Consider the following 20,886-nt stretch of genomic DNA (forward strand, 5'->3'; position numbering starts at 1 on the left):
TGCCACATTTTTAAACCATCAGGTTTCTTGAGAGCTCCCTTACTATCACAAGAACACATGAGGATAATCCACCCCAGTGATCCAGTCACCTCCCACCCGGTCCCTGCCCTGACACGTGGGAATTACAATTTTTTTTTCTTTGATAGGGAGTCTCACTCTGTCATCCAGGCTGGAAGGCATTGGTGCCATCTAGGCTCACTGCAACCTCCGCCTCCTGGGTTGAAGCAATTCTCCTGACTCAGCCTCCCGAGTAGCTGGCACTATAGGCGCGCGCCACCACTCTTGGCTAATTTTTGTATTTTTACTAGAGGAGGGGTTTCACCATATTGCCAGGCTGGTCTTGAACTCCTGACCTCGTGATCCGCCTGTCTCGGCCTCCCAAAGTGCTGGGATTACAGGCGTGAGCCACCGCACATGGATGGGAATTACAATTTGAGATGAGATTTGGGTGGAGCCACAGAGTCAAACTATATCATATGCTGTGCAAAGGATCCACAGCAAGGAAGGTCACAACATCCAAATTTTTAAAATAATTGTCATTATATTCTTTCAATTTATGAATAACTATATTATATATCATTTATAAATGCATATGACGTTATACACAAGGTTAAATGCAAATATCCTCCGGTGTCGGCCTGGCTGAGATCAGGGAAGAAGCCTTGCCTGTAAAGGCTGCAGCCCAGCCTGTTATTTTTGCTTCCTTCAGCCCAGTGATCAAATATTGTGTCATTCAGGCATGAAGGGTGGGGCCTGAAACCTTATCCAATCAGGGGCCGTGGACTAGAAACTGGCCAATCAGGCGTGCAGCTGGAGAGACCAGGACGCTTCCGTAAGTTTGCGGGTCCTTTTGTGCTTCTCTGCGTCCCGAGCTCCAGTTCTTTTCTTCAGGGCTCTGCATTCTCTGCTCCTAGAGGCCAAGCCTCTGTGGCCTTGTGTCCTGCAGGTATTCGCAGATTTATGGCTGAAAGACCGGGATCCCCTGGAAGCCGAGAAATGGTGAGTGCTGGGTCTGTCATCGTGAGAGGGGCGGGAGACGGTTGGAACCGGCTGAAAGTGGCTTGTAGCAGGACCCAAACTTCCTCGCAGTCAGCTCTGGAGTCTGAGGACCCAAATCCTCCTTGTCCCAGCTCGGCTTTTAGTCCCCTCGAACCGTAAGATGCTGCCTGGGCCAGCGGCTGGGACCCTGGGAGTTCTGTCTTTTTCCTCTGCAGTGGCTTTGCCCTGGACTGGAGGCCTCTCTGGGCAGCTCTGCACTCCCAGCGCCTCATCTCACCCAGATTGTACAGGGATGGGAAAGTCATCAGGGGAGAATCCAGACTCAGGGTGCAGGATTCATAAGTGGTAAGAGCTGTGGTCCCTGGGGTCCCTAGTTCACCATTTTTCCTTTTAGAGGTGTATGGGAGTCACTGTAAAAATATTAGAGAACTTGATCAAAGTGTGATTCAAGAGTCATAGAGCGCCCAGCTATGATTTGTGGGTTGTGATCCATGGGAGAGACTTGAAGGAAATTCTGTTATAAGTTGCGTGATGAAGGAAACCAAATTCAGTAATTGGTTTGGTACAGTTATGTAGTTTCCTTATTTGTAAGATCCAGGTGAAAATGCCTTGGTTATGTCATCAGAGATTAGTTGCCAGTCTGTGGTTGACTAGGCCTGAATTTTTTTCTTCAATATAATAATTTACAAGAAATGTATTTGTTTATTTATTTTTTGAGAGGGAGTCTCGCTCTGTCACCCAGGCTGGAGTGCAATGGCGCGATCTCGGCTCACTGCAACCTCCCCCTCTCGGGTTCAAGCGATTCTCCCACCTCAGGCTCCCGAGTAGCTGGGATTACAGGAGCCCGCCACGACCAGGCTAATTTTTGTATTTTTAGTAGAGACGGGGTTTCACCATGTTGGCCAGGGTGCTCTCGAACCCCTGACCTGAAGTGATCCGCCCATCTTGGCCTCCCAAAGCATTTGCATTACAGGCGTGAGCCACCTCACCCAACCATAAGAGATACATTTGAGTTAGATTTTTTTTTTAAGTGAGAACCGAAAAAAATCAATCCACCTCAGCCTAATTACCTACTGTTTAAATATTTTTACACTGCAAAGGAAACTGCTTTTCCCTTACTTTTTTTTTTTTTTGTGTGTGTGTGTGTGTGACAGAGTTTCGCTCTTATTACCCAGGCTGGAGTGCAATGGCGTGATCTTGGCTCACTGCAACCTCCCCCTCCCATGTTCATGCGATTCTCCTGCCTCAGCCTCCCAAGTAGCTGGGATTACAGGCATGCGTCACCACCCCAGCTAATTTTGTATTTTTAATAGAGACGGAGTTTCTCCATGTTGGTCAGGCTGGTCTTGAACTCCCGACCTCAGGTGATCCACCCACCTGGGCTTCCCAAAGTGCTGGGATTACAGGATTACAGGCGTGAGCCACCATGCCCGGCCTTTTTTTTTTTTTTTTTTTTTTTTTTTTTTTTGAGAGGGAGTCTCGCTCTGTCCTTCAGGCTGGAGTGCAGTGGTGCGATATTAGCTCACTGCAACCTCTGGCTTTCGGGTTCAAGTGATTCTCCTGCCTCAGCCTCCCAAGTAGCTGGGATTACAGGTACCCACCACCACACCTAGCTGACATTTTTATTTTTAGTAGAGACACAGTTTTGCCATGTTGGCCAGGCTGGTCTCAAACTCCTGGACTCAAGTGATCAGCCTGCCTCAGCCTCCCAAAGTGCTGGGATTACAGGAATAAGTTATCACACCCAGCCTGCATTTTTCAACTGTGTCTTTTTTTTTGGCGGGGGGAGCGGGAGCAGGACGGAGTCTCACTCTCCGCCCAGGCTGGAGTGCATTGGTGTGATCTCACCTCATTACAACCTCCGTGTCCCGGGTTCAAGTGATTGTCCTGCTTCAGTCTCCAGAGTAGCTGGAATTACAGTTCCCACCACCACATCCAACTAATTTTTTTATTTTTAGTAGAGTCTGGATTTGACCATGTTGGACAGGTTGGTCTTGAACTTTTGGCCTCAGGTGATCTGCCTGCCTCAGCCTCCCAACGTTCTGGGGTTACAGGCATGAGCCACTGTGCGCAGCCGAATTTTTTTTCTTTTACCTTTTATTTTAGGTTCAGGAGTACATGTGCAGGTTTGTTGTATAGGTAAAATCATATCATGAAGTTTTTGTGTACAGATTATTTTATCACTCAGGTGGTAAGCATAGTATCCAACAGATTTGTTTTCTGATTTTCGTCATCCTCCGACCCTCCACCCTGAACTGGGCCTCAGTGTCTGTCTGTTGTTCTCTTATCTGTGTCCACGTGTTCTCATTATTTTGCTCCCACTTATAAGTGACAACATATAGTATTTGATTTTCTGTTCCTGCACTAGTTTTCTAAAAATAGCAGTCTCCAGCTCCATTGACGTTGCTGCAAAGGACATGATGTTGTTCTTCCTTATAGCTGCATCATATTTCATGGTGTTTACGTAACACATTTTCTTTATCCACTCTACCACTGAAGACATATAGGTTTATTTCTGGTTCTTGCTATTGTGAATCGTGCTGTAATAAACATACATGTGCATGTGTCTTCATGGTAGAATAACTTACATTCATTGGGTATATTCCCAATTGTGGGATTCAGAATGGTAATTCTGTTTTCAGGTTTTTGAAAAAATGCCAAACTGCTTTTCTCAATGTTTAAACAAATTTATACTCTCACTTGCAGTGTATAAGCATTCAGTTTCTCCACAACCTCACAAGCATCTGGTTTTTTGTTTGTTTATTTGTTTGACTTTTTAGTCTAATTGTTTTTATTTGAATTATTTCTTTTTTCTCCATTAGTCTAGTGTTTTATCTATCTTAGTCATTTTTACATAGAATCAACTTCTGGTTTCGTTGAAATATATATATATATATTTTTAAGATGGAGTCTCACTCTATTGCCCAGGCTGGAGTGCAATGGCAAAATCTCGGCTCACTGCAACCTCTGCCCTCCAGTTTCAAGAGATTCTCCTGCCTCAGCCTCTCGAGTAGCTGGGATTATGGGCATGTGCTGCACGCCCAGCTAATTTTTGTATTTTTAGTAGAGATGGGGATTCACCACGTTGGCCAGGCTGGTCTCAAACTCCTGACCTTGTGATCTGCCCGCCTTGGACTCCCAAAGTGCTGGGATTACAGGAGTGAGCCACAGCACCCAGCTCCTTGTACTATTTATGTCTCGACGTTCTTCATTTCAGCTCTGATTTTGGTTATTTTTTGTCTTTTGTGAGCTTTGAAGTTGGTTTGCTCTTACTTTTGAAATTCTTTTAATTGTAACAATAGATTTTTAAATTGAGATCTAACTTTTTGATGTGGATGTTTAGTGACATACATTTTATTCTTAACACTGCCTTAGCTGTAACCCAGAGATTCTAGTATGTTGTATTTTGGCTCTAACTAGTTTCAAAAAATTTTTTGTGTCTGCCTTAATTTCATTATTTACAAATAGCCATTTCGAAGCTGATTATTCAATTTTTATGTAATTGTATCATTTCATATGTTTTTTGTGGTATTATTATTCTATACGTTTTCTTTTTAAAAGTAATGATAGAGAAACATAAGAAGAAATAAAAATGCTGTGCTCTTAATCTAAATACTAAAAATTATTCAACACTTAGTAGCAACTCCCAGAGTGCTATGAAAATTAAATCACATTATGTGTTATTCCCAGCACAGTGTTCTGTGACATGCTCCAGAGCACATAGTACCTGCTTAATAAACATTTTTTTAGTACATGCATACACATTTCCCAAGAGCAGACTTACTCAGATATTGCTGTCTTCTGTTGTCCCTGTAAACTTAAAAAAGCCAACAAAAAATATTTCAGCATGATGATTGGTTGTCTTTATTTGTACCAGATGTATTTGTTTTGTGACAAATGTGGTGGGTGTAAGGGACTCTGCTGTGCCTGCTTTCTCTCGCTAATGCTAATAATGTGTCTGGGAAAGCACAGTCAGCATTTACAGGGGACTTGTTGAAAAAGCCCATTCCTGGAACTTTTTGGATCCTGCAGAATCACATTGCGAAAAGCAGGGCCAAGATTACCAAGTGATTTATAAACTTGAGGGGTTCAAGATACATTCAGGAGAGTTTAGTTCAACCTTTGCATCAAAGGAAGGCTGCACTGCCTGCCCTGTTTCAGTTTGGTAGGAAGAGGTCAGTGCGGTTCATGCTCCCATTACTGTAAAGAACATTGCTGGTGTCTGATAGGGGAGGGCAGGGAAAAAGAAACTTATATTTTAATAGTTATGGAGAAGCTCATTGTTCTCTCATTGCTCTTAAATCTTTTCAGTTATAAACAACAAAAATGGGTGAATGTTTTCTGCAAGTCTCGGTCTTTCTGCCGTGGGTGTGTGTGGCGGTAGCAGGTGAATAGGTTGTGCTTTAAAGGCATATTCTCAAGATGCAGGTTTGATATGTCCAGAGCATCTTATCTGAAAATACATTTCAGAGAAAGAGGAGGAAAAGAAAAAAATCACTTTTTCTTGGTGAACATGTCTCAGATCAAGCACAGTGTCCACTCTGCCTTTTGGAATGCCATCTGTTTGGAACTTGCAAATTTTTACTTCTGTACTTGTACTGTTGATCCCTAATGAGTTTGTTTCAACTATTTTTTGTTATTTTTATGATAGTCAAGGCGTTCTGAAAAAAAATATTTTTTCTATATGCCATGGTGTTCTATACATACTTTTCATCTTGGGTTCTTGTATACCATGCAGAATTCTCACTACAAATTTATGACCTGCAATATTTAAAATGTTCCCATTGTAGCTGTTGAACATGAGAAGGTGTAAATACTCAAGATTTCTATTGGGGAAACACAGTTGTCTTTGGATATTAGTGAAAAGTGAAACATGTCCTGTTGAGTTTTCATCTGTGTGCTCTATTAGTTCCATGCAGGACAGGATTTAGAAAATGCTCATTTATACAGAATGGCGTGTATTGCCCAGAAAGTTCTGAAAAAGCTATAAGGAGATACTTGCTCTCCAGGGTGCTAAAGAAAGACTACTTAAAATTACTATTAAAAATTACAGAACAGGGAAGTTATCTGCACCTTCGACTTTGCATAAAACTGATGGTTTCTTTATAATTAAATTTAGGCCGGGCGCAGTGTCTCAGGCTTGTAATCCCGGCACTTTGGGAGGCCAAGGCAGGCGGATCATGTGAGGTCAGGAGTTCGAGGCCAGACTGGCCAACATGGTAAAACCCCGTCTCTACGGAAAAAAAAAAAAATACAAAAATTAGCCAGGTGTGGTGCACACACGTGTAATCCCAGCTACTCAGGAGGATGAGGCAGGAGAATTGCTTGAACTCAGGAGGTGGAGGTTGCAGTGAGATGAGATTGCACCACTGCACTCCAGCCTGGGTGACAGAGCGAGACTCTGTCTCTTAAAAAAAAAAAAAAAATATATATATATATATATATATATATATATAAAATTAAATTTGGATTACCATTTACTTTTCTGAGAGGTGAGAAATACCACAGCAGTGATGTTGTGTCCTGTGTGCATCAGCACATAATACAAATGTGTCCTAATAAAGTTGATAACAATTTTATTCACTTGGTTCACGATGTCTCTGACATTTTTTCCACTATAGAGTTAATTATTATTCTCTTAATTATTAAGTACACTTAGGAGATTTACTAGCTGAAGTGCATAAACCATCACATTTAATCTGGAATCTGTCCTTTCTTTTTAGATGACTTTTGCATATATTTGTCTTTTAAAAATGAAGGCTCTTTATTTACAGGTGAGAGAAACTGGGAAAAACTCAGACTCTGCCACTTACTGGATGTTTGACAAAATATTCTTACTAGGCTAGAAACATTGGTGAGCTTGCTAAAAATTCAGAAATTCAGACTTTATCCCAAATCTCCTGAAACAAAATCTGCACAAGATGTTTAGTTTATTGCACATATTAAGACTTGAGAGGTACCTTCCAAGTCATCATGACTGTTCTATCTGAGAAATAACACAACTTATTCTGTATGATGTAAATATAGCCCTTAAAAATAGACATGTCCCGCACTTTGGGAGGCCGAGGTGGGTGGATCACCTGAGGTCAGGAATTCAAGACCTGCCTGGCCAACATGGAGAAACCCCATCTCTACTAAAAATACAAAAATCAGCCAGGCATGGTGGCTCACGCCTGTAGTCTCAGCTACTTGGGAGGCTGAGGCAGGAGAATCGATTGAACCCGGGAGGTGGAGGTTGCACTGAGCCAAGATCATGCCACTCCCATTCCAGCTTGGGCAACAGAGTGAAACTCGGTCTCAAAAAAAAGAAGAAAAGAAAAATAGAAAAAAAAGACATGTCCATGTTGATGCCCTTAATTTTATAATTTATCATCCAGAAAACTATCAAATCTACAGTGGTATTGTGGATCTTATGCTATTCTCTTTTCTTAGAGTTAGAGAATACTTCAGTGTTAAAAATTATCTTATCGAATAATTTTAGTCAGTCTTATAAGTGAGAACCACTTCATTTTACTCTCTTTTTTAACTTGAGTCAAATACAAATCTCTGCCTATGGCCACATGGTAACTGTGTTCATGAGTGTTTTTTGTTTTTGTTTTTGTTTTTTTCAGAGACTGTTGACATTCAGAGACATAGCTATAGAATTCTCTCTGGAGGAGTGGCAATGCCTGGATTGTGCTCAGCAGAATTTATATAGAGATGTGATGTTAGAGAACTACAGAAACCTGGTCTCCCTGGGTGAGGAAAACTTCAATACACAATTCCTAATATATTGCCTTTCTCTCTTTTCTAAGATGATTTTGGTAATTTCTGCTTTGCATGAATAATTTTTAGCTCTCCAATTTTAAGAAAATCTTGGGGATTCATTGGTGTAGAACAGATTCTTCACGATGTTTTATCTTGACCTGAACTTTTCCCTTTCCTGAGCTTATGTATCTTTTGCTCTAGGTTAGTTGCAATTCCAAAAATGTCATGGCATAAAATAGCGTTTCCCACGCCTTAGAATTCAGTTGCCACCACCAATGTTTGATTCAGTAGTACTGAGTAGTGAAAATAAGGACTTACAAATTTAAAATATTTTCTAAATATGTAGAAAGGTCTGTTATGAATCAACTTTAATTTTCTAGAATTTTCTATTAAATCCTCTTTACTAACCATAATACTAGTTTGGTAATTAAAGAATTCAGCAAGATTTATCTTACTTTTTTTTCTTAATAAAACAGGTATTGCTGACTCTAAGCCAGACTTGATTACCTGTCTGGAGCAAAATAAAGAGGCTTGGAATATAAAGAGAAATGAGATGGTAGCCAAACACCCAGGTAGGTGAGAGCGAATGAAGCAGATGACACAGATGAGAGATACACAAATCAACAAGGCAGCCAGTCCTTGAAATGTGGTCTGGGGAGCTGTGCTTCGATGGAAAGAGTTTCTGAGAGGCTCGAGTCATTTTTTTCTTTTGCTCTCACATAGGGACACCTTCTGCCCCATGCTGTTAAATTCTCTAAGGATTCTACTTCCACTTCAATAATCTTTCTTCAAGTTCACAGTGTGAGCCAGAGTTTTCTTTATGGCTTATCAGGGACTGCACAAACTGACTGCTTTGCCATAGCTTTTGGGGACACACTAATATTTGCATATTTTTGAGAAACTCTACGTTAAACTATTTATAAAATTTTTTTTGCATCATGTCTAAAATGTGTGAGAATAGTAATTTCTGTTTCATTGGTGGTTGTCCATTTTTCTACACAGGCCATTCTGTTTTTATTACTATAGCCTTGAAATATAAAGTTTTTTTACAAATTTTTTTCATTTTTAAATTTTTATATATGTATGTATTTATTTATTTATTTAGAGGCTGGGTTATGATACTTGCTGTGGGGGGATATGCAAGCAGGATATTTCTTTTGTCTTCATTTTACTGTGTTGTATATTTTAGATATAGTTTCATAAATGGTGTTGCTGTATTACATGATAATTTCATTTTTAATTATTTGAAGGACATTTATGATATTTTTATGATGGCTGCATCTTTTTTCTCAACCATTTACATAGGTTTCAATTTCTTTACATCATCAACATAGTTGGTGTTTTTGAAAAAATGTATAGTGGCCATTCTAACTGATGTAAGGTAATTTTGTTTTGTATTGTGATTTTGTTTCGCATTTTTCTATAAATTATTAATTTTGTGCAACCTTTCAAGTGCTTCTTCCCATTTGTGTGTTTGTGTGTGTATATATATATATATATATATATATTTATACTTTAAGTTCTAGGGTGCTTGTGCACAACGTGCAGGTTTGTTACATATGTATACATGTGCCATGTTGGTTTGCTGCACCCATTAACTTGTCATGTACATTAGGTATTTCTCCTAATGCTATCCCTCCCCCATCCCCCAACTCCACGACAGGCCCTGGTGTGTGATGTTCCCCGCCCTGTGTCCAAGTGTTGTCACTGTTCAATTCCCACCTATGAGTGAGAACATGTGGTGTTTGGTTTTCTGTCCTTGTGATAGTTTGCTCAGAATGATGGTTTCCAGCTTCATCCGTGTCCATACAAATCACATGAACTCATCCTTTTTTATGGCTGCATAGTATTCCATGGTGTATATGTGCCACATTTTCTTAATCCAGTCTATTCTTTATGGACATTTGGGTTGGTTCCAAGTCTTTACTATTGTTGAGTAGTGCTGCAATACACATACATGTGCATGTGTCTTTATAGTAGCATGATTTATAATCCTTTGGGTATATACCCAGTAATGGGATCACTGGATCAAATGGTATTTCTAGTTCTAGATCCTTGAGGAATCGCCACACTGTCTTCCACAATGGTTGAACTAGTTTACAGTCCCACCAACAGTGTAAAAGTGTTCCTATTTCTCCACATCCTCTCCAGCAGCTGTTGTTTCCTGATGTATTAATGATTACCATTCTAACTGGTGTGAGATGGTATCTCATTGTGGTTTTGATTTGCATTTCTCTGATGACCAGTGATGATGAGCATTTTTTCACATGTCTGTTGGCTGCATAAATATCTTCTTTTGAGAAGTGTCTGTTCATATCCTTTGCCCAGTTTTTGATGGGGTTGTTTGATTTTTTCTTGCAAATTTGTTTAAGTTCTTTGTAGATTCCAGATATTAGCCCTTTGTCAGATGGGTAGATTGCAAAAATTTTCTCCCATTCTGTAGGTTGTCTGTTCACTCTGATGGTAGTTTCCTTTGCTGTGCAGAAGCTCTTTAGTTTAATTAGGTCCCATTTGTCCATTTTGGCTTTTGTTGCTATTGCTTTTAGTGTTTTAGTCATGAAGTCCTTGCCCATGCCTATGTCCTGTATGGTATTGCCTAGGTTTTCTTCTAGGGTTTTTATGGTTTTAGATCTAACATTTGAGTCTTTAATCAATCTTGAATTAATTTTTGTATAAGGTATAAGGAAGGAATCCAGTTTCAGCTTTCTACATATGGCTAGCCAGTTTTCCCAGCACCATTTATTGAATAGGGAATCCTTTCCCCATTTCTTGTTTTTGTCAGGTTTGTCAAAGATCAGATGGTTGTAGATATGTGGTGTTATTTCTGAGGGCTCTGTTCTGTTCCATTGGTCTATATCTCTGTTTTGGTACCAGTACCATGCTGTTTTGGTTACTGTAGCCTTGTAGTATAGTTTGAAGTCAGGTAGTGTGATGCCTCCAGCTTTGTTCTTTTGGCTTAGTATTGTCTTGGCAATGTGGGCTCTTTTTTGGTTCCATATGAACTTTAAAGTAGTTTTTTCCAGTTCTGCGAAGAAAGTCATTGGTAGCTTGATGGGGATGGCATTGAATCTATAAATTACCTTGGGCAGTATGGCCATTTTCACAATATTCATTCTTCCTATCCATGAGCATGGAATGTTCTTCCATTTGTTTGTGTCCTCTTTTATTTCATTGAGCAGTGGTTTGAAGTTCTCCTTAAAGAGGTCCTTCACATCCCTTGTAAGTTGGATTCCTAGGTATTTTATTCTGTTTGTAGCAATTGTGAATGGAAGTTCACTCATGATTTGGCTCTCTGTTTGTCTGTTATTGGTGTATAGGAATGCTTGTGATTTTTGCACATTGGTTTTGTATCTTGAGACTTTGCTGAAGTTGCTTATCAGCTTAAGGAGATTTTGGACTGAGACAATGGGGTTTTGTAAATATACAATCATGTCATCTGCAGCCAGGGACAATTTGACTTCTTCTTTTCCTAATTGAATACCCTTTATTTATTTTTCTTGCCTGATTGCCCTGGCCAGAACTTCCAACACTATGTTGAATAGGAGTGGTGAGAGGGCATCCCTGTCTTGTGCCAGTTTTCAAAGGGAATGCTGCCAGTTTTTGCCCGTTCAGTATGATACTTTCTGTGGGTTTGTCATAAATAGCTCTTATTATTTTGAGATACATTCTGTCAATACCTAGTTTATTGAGAGTTTTTAGCATGAATGGCTGTTGAATTTTGTCAAAGGCCTTTTCTGCATCTATTGAGATAATCATATAGTTTTGTCTTTGGTTCTGTTTATGCAATGCATTACGTTTATTGATTTGTGTATGTTGAACCAGCCTTGCATCCCAGAGATGAAGCTGACTTGATCGTGGTGGATAAGCTTTTTGATGTGCTGCTGGATTCGGTTTGCCAGTATTTTATTGAGGATTTTCGCATCGATGTTCATCAGGGATATTGGTCTAAAATTCTCTTTTTTTGTTGTGTCTCTGCCAGGCTTTGGTATCAGGATGATGTTGGCCTCATAAAATGAGTTAGGGAGGATTCCCTCTTTTTCTATTGATTGGAATAGTTTAAGAAGTAATGGTATCAGCTCCTCTTTATACCTCTGGTAGAATTCGGCTGTGAATCCATCTGGTCCTGGACTTTTTTTGGTTGGTAGGCTATTAATTATTGCCTCAATTTCAGAGCCTGTTATTGGTCTATTCAGGGATTCAACTTCTTCTTGTTTTAGTCTTGGGAGGGTGTATGTGTCCAGGAATTTATCCATTTCTTCTAGATTTTCTAGTTTATTTGTGTAGAGGTGTTTATAGTATTCTCTGATGGTAGTTTGTATTTCTGTGGGATCGGTGGTGGTATCCCCTTTATCATTTTTTATTGTGTCTATTTGATTCTTCTCTCTTTTATTCTTTATTAGTCTTGCTAGTGGTCTATCAATTTTGGTGATCTGTTCAAAAAGCCAGCTCCTGGATTCATTGATTTTTTGAAGGGTTTTTTGTGTCTCTATCTCCTTCAGTTCTGCTTTGATCTTAGCTGTTTCTTGCCTTCTGCTAGCTTTTGAATTTGTCTTCTCTTGCTTCTCTAGTTCCTTTAATTGTGATATTAGGGTGTTGATTTTAGATATTTCCTGCTTTCTCTTGTGGGCATTTAGTAGTATAAATTTCCCTCTACACACTGCTTTAAATGTGTCCCAGAGATTCTGGTATGTTGTGTCTTTGTTCTCATTGGTTTCAAAGAACATCTTTATTTCTGCCTTCATTTCGTTATGTACCCAGTAGTCATTCAGGAGCAGGTTGTTCAGTTTCCATGTAGTTGAGCGGTTTTGAGTGAGTTTCTTAATCCTGAGTTCTAATTTGATTGCAATGTGGTCTGAGAGACAGTTTGTTGTGATTTCTGTTCTTTTACATTTGCTGAGGAGTGCTTTACTTCCAACTATGTGGTGAATTTTTGGAATAAGTGTGATGTGGTACTGAGAAGAATGTACATTCCGTTGCTTTTGTGTGGAGAGTTCTGTAGATGTCTATTAGGTCTGCTTGGTGCAGAGCTGAGTTCAAGTCCTGGATATCCTTGTTAACCTTCTGTCTTGTTGATCTGTCTAATATTGACAGTGGGGTGTTAAAGTCTCCCGATATTATTGTGTGAGTCTAAGTCTCTTTGTAGGTCTCTAAGGACTTGCTTTATGAATCTGGGTGCTCCTGTATTGGGTGCATGTATATTTAGGATAGTTAGCTCTTCTTGTTGCATTGATCCCTTTACCATTATGTAATGGCCTTCTTTGTCTCTTCTGATCTTTGTTGGTTTAAAGTCTATTTTATCAGAGACTAGGATTGCAACCCCTGCTTTTTTTTTGCTTTCCATTTTTTTGGTGAGGATGGATCTTCCTCCATCCTTTTATTTTGAACCTATGGATGTCTCTGCATGTGAGACAGGTCTCCTGAATACAGCACACTGATGGGTCTTGACTCTTTATCCAATTTGCCAGTGTGTGTCTTTTAATTGGGGCATTTGGCTTATTTACATTTAAGGTTAATATTGTTAGGTATGAATTTGATCCCATCATATGATGTTAGCTGGTTATTTTGCCTGTTAGTTGATGCAGTTTCTTCTTAGCATCGATGATCTTTATAATTTGGCATGATTTTGCAGTGGCTGGTACCGGTTGTTCCTTTCCATGTTTAGTGCTTCCTTCAGGAGCTCTTGTAAGGCAGGCCTGGTGGTGACAAAATCTCTCAGCATTTGCTTGTCTGTAAAGTATTTTATTTCTCCTTCATTTATGAAGCTTAGTTTGGCTGGATATGAGATTCTGGGTTGAAAATTCTTTTCTTTAAGAATGTTGAATAGTGGCCCCCACTCTCTTCTGGCTCATAGAGTTTCTGCTGAGAGATCTGCTGTTAGTCTGATGGGTTTCCCTTTGTGGGTAACCCGGCCTTTCTCTCTGGCTGCCCTTAACATTTTTTCCTTCATTTCAACTTTGGTGAATCTGACAATTATGTGTCTTGGTGTTGCTCTTCTCGAGGAGTATCTTTGTGATGTTCTCTGTATTTCCTGAATTTGAATGTTGGCCTGCCTTGCTAGGTTGGGGAAGTTCTCCTGGATAATATCCTACAGAGTATTTTCCAGCTTGCTTCCATTCTCCCTGTCACTTTCAGGTACACCAATCAAACATAGATTTGGTCTTTTCACATAGTCCCATATTTCTTGGAGGCTTTGTTCATTTCTTTTTACTCTTTTTTCTCTAAACTTCTCTTCTCACTTCATTTCACTTCTCTTCTCACTTCATTTCATTAATTTGATCTTCAATCACTGATACCCTTTCTTTCACTTGATTGAATCGGCTACTGAAGCTTGTGCATGCGTCACATAGTTCTAGTGCCATGGTTTTCAGCTCCATCCGGTTATTTAAGGTCTTCTCTACACTGTTTATTCTAGTTAGCCATTCATCTAATCTTTTTTCAAGGTTTTTAGCTTCCTTGCAATGGGTTCGAACATCCTCCTTTAGCTCGGAGAAGTTTGTTATTACTGATCTTCTGAAGCCTACTTCTGTCAACTCGTCAAAGTCATTCTCCATCCAGCTTTGTTCTGTTGCTGGCAAGAGGCTGTGATCCTTTGGAGGAGAAGAGGCACTCTGATTTTTAAAATTTTCAGCTTTTCTGCTTTGGTTCCTCCCCATCTTTGTGGTTTTATCTACCTTTGGTGTTTGATGATGGTGACCTACAGATGGGGTTTTGGTGTGGTTGTCCTTTTTGTTGATGTGGATGCTATTCCTTTCTGTTTGTTAGTTTTCCTTCCAACAGTCAAGTCCCTCAGCTGCAGGACAAGTGATCCTTCCACCTTGGCCTCGCAAAGTGCTGAGATTACACCTGTGAGCCACTGCACCTGGCTGATCTTTTGAAATTTACTAAGACTTATGTGTTCTAACAGAATGTGCCAGGTGCAAATAAGAATATTGTGTATCCACTTGCTTTTGACTGGAGAGTTCTGTACATGTCTGTTTAGCCTATTTGGTTTGTGATATGGTGTAGATGCCCTCCAAATCCCATATTGAAATGTAATCTCCAGTGTTGGATGTGGGGCCTAATGAGAGCTGTTTGCATCGTGGAGACAAATCCCTTATGGATGACTTGGCACAATCCCCTTGGTAATCATAGAGTTCTCACTCTCTTAATTCACATGAGAGCTGCTTGCTTAAAGGAACTTGGTTCCTCCACCTCACACTCGCATCATCTTTCACCATGTGACATGTTTGGTTCTTTTTTGACTTCCACTGTAATTGTAAGCTTCCTCATATCCTCACCAGAAGCAGATGCTGGCATATACTTCTTTTACAGTCTACTGAACTGTGAACCAAAGAAATCTTTTTCTTTATAAATTACCCAGTCTCAGGTTATTTTCTGTAGCATTGCAAAATGAATTCATACACAGTATAATGTTATTCAGGCTTTCTGTTTTTTAATTGATATTTTATTTAAATTTTTTATTCATTATTGAAAGTGAGGTCTTAATGTTTATAATTTTATGTTGCTATTTTATTTCTTGCTTCATTTTTGTCAATATTTGCTTTATATATTTTGAAGCCGTGATGTTATATATGCCTATACATATAGATAGACATAATAGTTATAGATTCCTAGTAAATGGACTCATTTTACCATTATATAATATCAATCTTTGTCTCATGCTAGTAATTGACTCATTTTCTTTTGTGTGTCTATAAAGATTTTTTTCTTTATGCTACATTAGAGATTTTATAAAACCTGTTAAAGTTACAACAGTACATTTTAAACTGGTAAAAAAAAAATGACTTCAGTTGCATAGAAAAATTTGTCCGCATTATATCTACCCTATACTTCTTATTGATATTGCTAATTGTATATTTTTATGTTTTATGATTATTTTTATGCTTATATCTTTCAAATTTTAAAGAATAACTAAAAATGTTTTCGGCACCATCACAATAATGCCACGGAATTTTATTTTTTTATATATGCATGTTTTTCAGAAAGTTATGTATTTTCATATGATTATATATTCTTCGTCATATTATTTTAAGTGGAAAGACCTCTTTTCAGCATTTTATTTAGGGTACATGCAGTGCTTATATGCTTTTTCAGCATTTGTTTATTCTGGAAGATCTTTATTTTTTTCTTTATTTTGTAGTACATTTTTGCTGATTACATTATTCTCACAATGAAGATTCTTTTTCAGCCTTTGACCATTTAACACAGTTCTTTTCTGACCTGCAAGGTTTCTGTTGACAAATTCACTGGTTGTCTCGGAGGACTAGGCTTATAAATAATACCTCACTTTTATCTTGCAGCTCCCAAGATTATCTTCTGGTTTGTGACTTTTGAAACTTTGCTTAAATATGTGTTATGGATCTTTTTGTGTATATCCTAGTTTGTTTGTTTAGCTTCTTCATTTTTTACATTACTTTTTTCATACTTTAAAATTATTTCACTTATTCTTTTTTACTTCCACAATTGTTTATTTTTATTATTCCAAGCCTTTTGTTGACATTCTCATTTATCTGATATCTGGTTTTCCATTTTTCTCATTGAGCAAAATACGGATTATCTTAAATTTTAAAAATTAATATATACATCTTTATTTTTATAGTTGCTTTTTGAAAATTTTGATTTTTTTGATTGGACCTTGTTGCCCAAATATTTTGTATACATTATAATCTTTGGTTGAGATTTAGACATTAACATAAAACTACCTTTCACAATCTTTATAATGCAGCTCTTTTCTGGCATAGCCTGAAACCAATTGTATTGGGTAGAGATTCTGGGAGTCTTGCAAACATGTTCTCAGGATGTGTCTTGTCTGCAATTTTGTATTTATTTTTCAGTTAAAAGACTTCTTCATATTTCTTATTACTGGTCAATAACTACTTTCTACACCTATTTTCTGTCCATGGTACTTCAGTCTTTCTGCTGTTGTAACATTCACTTTTGATCACAGAAGACTTAAAGCTGTCATTAAAGACACCATGTTCTTCTACTGGGGATGAGGAAGGGCTGTGTTGGGCAAATGTAGCAGACTTTTCTTTTCTTTCTATATGGCTTTTGACATTGTGCTCACATGGGGCACACACTTATTCTATAAATTTCCAACAAAGGTATTTTGATCACTATGATTTTGTTAGGTTTATACATCTATGAAGGAATTATGGCCTGTGGTAATTTGATATGCCATTTTGCTAGTGTGCCTTGTATAATTTTATATATTCGATTTGTAAAGTATATTCATCTGAGTCTAGTAAGTGGAGTAACTTGTGATTTTTATGTCTTTCAGTTACGTGTTCTCATTTCACCCAAGACCTTCATCCAGAGCAGGGCATAAAACATTCACTCCAAAAAGTAATACCAAGAACATATGGAAAATGTGGACATGAGAATTTACAATTTAAAAAATGCTGTAAAAGTGTGGGTGAGTGTGAGGTGCACAAAGGAGGTTATAATGAAGTTAAGCAATGTTTGTCAAATACCCAAAACAAAATATTTCAGACTCATAAGTGTGTCATAGTCTTTGGTAAATTTTCAAATTGCAATAGACATGAAACAAGATATACTGGAAAGAAACATTTCAAATGTAAAAAATATGGCAAATCGTTTTGCATGCCTTCACACCTAAATCAACATCAGATAATTCATACTAAGGAGAAGTCCTACAAATGTGAAGAATGCGGCAAATCCTTTAAACGCTCCTCAAACTGTACTACACATAAAAGAATTCATACTGGAGAGAAACCCTACAGATGTGAGGAATGTGGCAAAGCCTTTAGGTGGCCCTCAAACCTTACTAGACATAAGAGAATTCATACTGGAGAGAAACCCTACACATGTGAAGAATGTGGCCAAGCTTTTAGGCGCTCCTCAACACTTACTAACCACAAGAGAATTCATACTGGAGAGAGACCCTACAAATGTGAAGAATGTGGCAAAGCCTTTAGCGTATCCTCAACCCTCAATGACCACAAGAGAATTCATACTGGAGAGAAACCCTACACATGTGAAGAATGTGGCAGAGCCTTTAACTGCTCCTCAACCCTTAAGACACATAAGAGAATTCATACTGGAGAGAAACCCTACAAATGTGAAGAATGTGACAAAGCTTTTAAGAGGCATTCAAGTCTTGCTAAACATAAGATAATTCATACTGGAGAGAAACCCTACAAAAGTAAATAATGTGGCAAATTCTAGCCCTCAGGCCTTATAATACATACAATAATTTATGCTGGAAAAAAACACTACAAGTGTAGAGAATATGGACAAACCTTTAACAAGTTCCAAACCTTAATAGAAAATAAGAGAATCCATATTGGACAAAAATTTTATAAATGTAAAAAAATGTAACAAAGCCTTTGACCAACCCTCAAACCTTAATGAACCCAAGAGAATTTATTTAAAAAAAATATTTTTTTGAGATGGTATCTCCCTTTGTCACCCAGGCTGCAGTGCAGTGGCACAAACTCAGCTCACTGTAACCTCTGCCTTCCAGGTTCAAGTGATTCTCCTCCCTCAGCCTCCTGAGTAGCTGGGACTATAGGCATGTGCCACCACACTGGCTGATTTTTGCATTTTTAGTAGAGATGGAGTTTCACCATGTTGGCTAGGCTGGTCTCGAACTCCTAACCTCAGGTGATCCACCTGCCTCAGCCTCCCAAAACCTAAGAGAATTTATATTAGAGATACCCTAGAAAGGTTAAAAAAAAAAAGTGAAAAAACCTTTAAGCACATCTCAGGCCTTACACAATATCTGTTAATTCATTCTAGAGAGAAATCCTACAAAAGCAAAGAATGTGGTAACGCTTTTAACTAGTCTTGAACCCTTATTATACATAAGAGATGTAATACTTAAGAGAAACCCTACAATAAGGAATATGGCAATGTCTTTAAAAAGTCCTCAAACCTGAATAAATGTAAGATAATTGATATTGGAGAGAACCCCTGAAACTGTAGAAAAAAATGTGGCAAAGCCTTTAACTGGTTTCCATCCTTATTAATTAAAAAAATTTTATACTGGAGAGAAACTCTACAGCATAAAAATGTGACAGAGCATTTAACCATACCTCAAACTTTTCTAAAAAAGGGAAATCATACTGGTGAGAAACTAGAAATGTGTTAAATGTGGCAAGGCCTTTAAATGGTAGTCACACGTTATGGTAGGTAAGATAATGTATACTGAAGAAAACTACAAATATGAAATGAAGAATGTGGCAAAACTTTTAATAAATTCTCACACCTTATGCCACAGGAAAGCATTTATACTAGAGAAAAATTGTAGAAATACAAAGAATGTGAAAAGCCATTACTATCAGCTCACATTTTACTCAATATCAGAAAGTTTATAGTTAATAATAGCATTATAGGTTGGGCGTGTTGGCTCACCCTTGAAATTCCAGCACTTTGGGAGGCCAAGGTCAGTGGATCATGAGATCAGGAGTTCAAGACCAGCCTGGCCAACATGGTGAAAGCCCATCTCTACTAAAAATACAAAAATTAGCCAGGTGTGGTGGCGTGTGCCTGTAATCCCAGCTACTTGGGAGGCTGAGGCAGGCGAATTGCTTGAACCTGAGAGGTGGAGGTTGCAGTGAGCCAACACAGAGCTGCTACACTGCAGCCTGGGTGACAGAGCAAGACTCCATCTCAAAAAAACAAAAAAGGCATTATAAATGTGATTACTGTAAAAACACCTTTTGGAAAATATAGGCCTTTAAAGTAAAGACTATTTATTCTGAAGACAAACATACAAACATAAAGAGGATTGTTATACCTTTACTGGCATTACAGATGTTATTGTATGCATTTTATGTTAAAGGAAAACCCTGAAGCAGATGCTCAAACTTTGTGGAACATCAGAGAATTTATATTTGAGAGAAAGCCTAAACATGTAATGAATGTGAAAAAACATTTGTTCAAAAACTACAGCTTAGAAGACACCAGTTTATACTAAATATTTTTGTAGATCCAAAATATTCACAGTAGAAAGAATGAAGGCACTGAAACTTCAGACATTACACTAAATCAGAGTGTTGAATGTAAAAGAGATCCAAAGATAACAGTATATACATTTCAAAGAAGTAGTTTTTTTTGGAGATTTATAATTACATTCGAGCTATGCTTCATTTTCTGTAAAAAAAATTTAGATTTTCTGAAAAGCAAATAATATTGTAACTCAAGTCTCAGATTACTTAATGTTGATTCTTCCCATTGTTTGTGAAAGTATTTGATCAATTGTTGCATCAGAGATATAAGAGATTGTTTATCAATTGTACCTTTATGTAATAAAATGCAATAAATTTAACTTAATTTTTCATTAAATAAAGTTGTTTTTAATGTGTTAAAACTATTGTGCTTTGAAAAATGTGTTAATTTGCCATCAACATTAATGTGTCTCATCTTACTTAAAGTTCTAAGTAAATGATGGTAACAATATACTATTTGTTAATGTAGGGGAATGACATCTCTAGTAATCTCTTTTTTGCCAGCGTTTTTTGTTTGTTTTTTTTGAGATGGAGTCTTGCTCTGTTGCCCAGGCTGGAGTGCAGTGGCACAATCTCAGCTCACTGCAACCTCCACCTCCTGGGTCCAAGCGATTCTCCTGCCTCAGCCTGCCAAGTAGCTGGGACTACAGGCACGTGCCACCACACCAGGCTAATTTTTGTATTTTTAGTAGAGATGGGGTTTCACCACGTTGGCCAGGCTGGTCTTGAACTCCTGACCTCAGGTGATCCACCTGCCTCGGTGCTGCAAAATGCTGGGATTACAGGTGTGAGCCACCACACCTGGCCCTCCAGTGGATTTAAACTGCAAAAAAGTTGAAGAATTTTGTTCTCATAGGTGAAATTTGTATTCTTTTTTACCTTATTTACATTTTTAAAAAATTTTTATGGGTAGTTTGCATACACAAAATGGCATATATGAGGTATTTTAACACAGGCATACATTATTTAATTATCACAGCAGGGTATATGAAGTATTCATTACCTCAAGCACGTATTTATGCTTTGTATTACAAACATTCCCATTATATAGTTTTAGTCATTTCAATATGTGCAATTGAATTATTAACCACAGGGTCAATTTATGATCATAAAAATTATATGAGTATAATTAATATCCATACATTTCTGAGTCTTGATTAAATATTTT

At 38.0% G+C, this 20,886-nt stretch overlaps 1 protein-coding gene across 1 annotated transcript; it reads left to right on the plus strand.

Annotated features, from left to right (window-relative positions):
• Nucleotides 1-847: 847 nt before the first annotated feature.
• ZNF722 (zinc finger protein 722) lies at nucleotides 848-20,080 on the plus strand. The gene is made up of 4 exons (NM_001396012.1): nucleotides 848-999; nucleotides 7,611-7,737; nucleotides 8,223-8,318; nucleotides 17,027-20,080. The coding sequence occupies exons 1-4, from the start codon at nucleotides 961-963 to the stop codon at nucleotides 17,917-17,919; spliced, it is 1,155 nt and encodes a 384-aa protein (NP_001382941.1). The 5' UTR covers nucleotides 848-960; the 3' UTR covers nucleotides 17,920-20,080.
• The last annotated feature ends 806 nt before the right edge of the window (nucleotides 20,081-20,886 follow it).

Source organism: Homo sapiens, chromosome 7 (assembly GCF_000001405.40).
Source record: "Homo sapiens chromosome 7, GRCh38.p14 Primary Assembly".
NCBI lineage: Eukaryota > Metazoa > Chordata > Mammalia > Primates > Hominidae > Homo > Homo sapiens.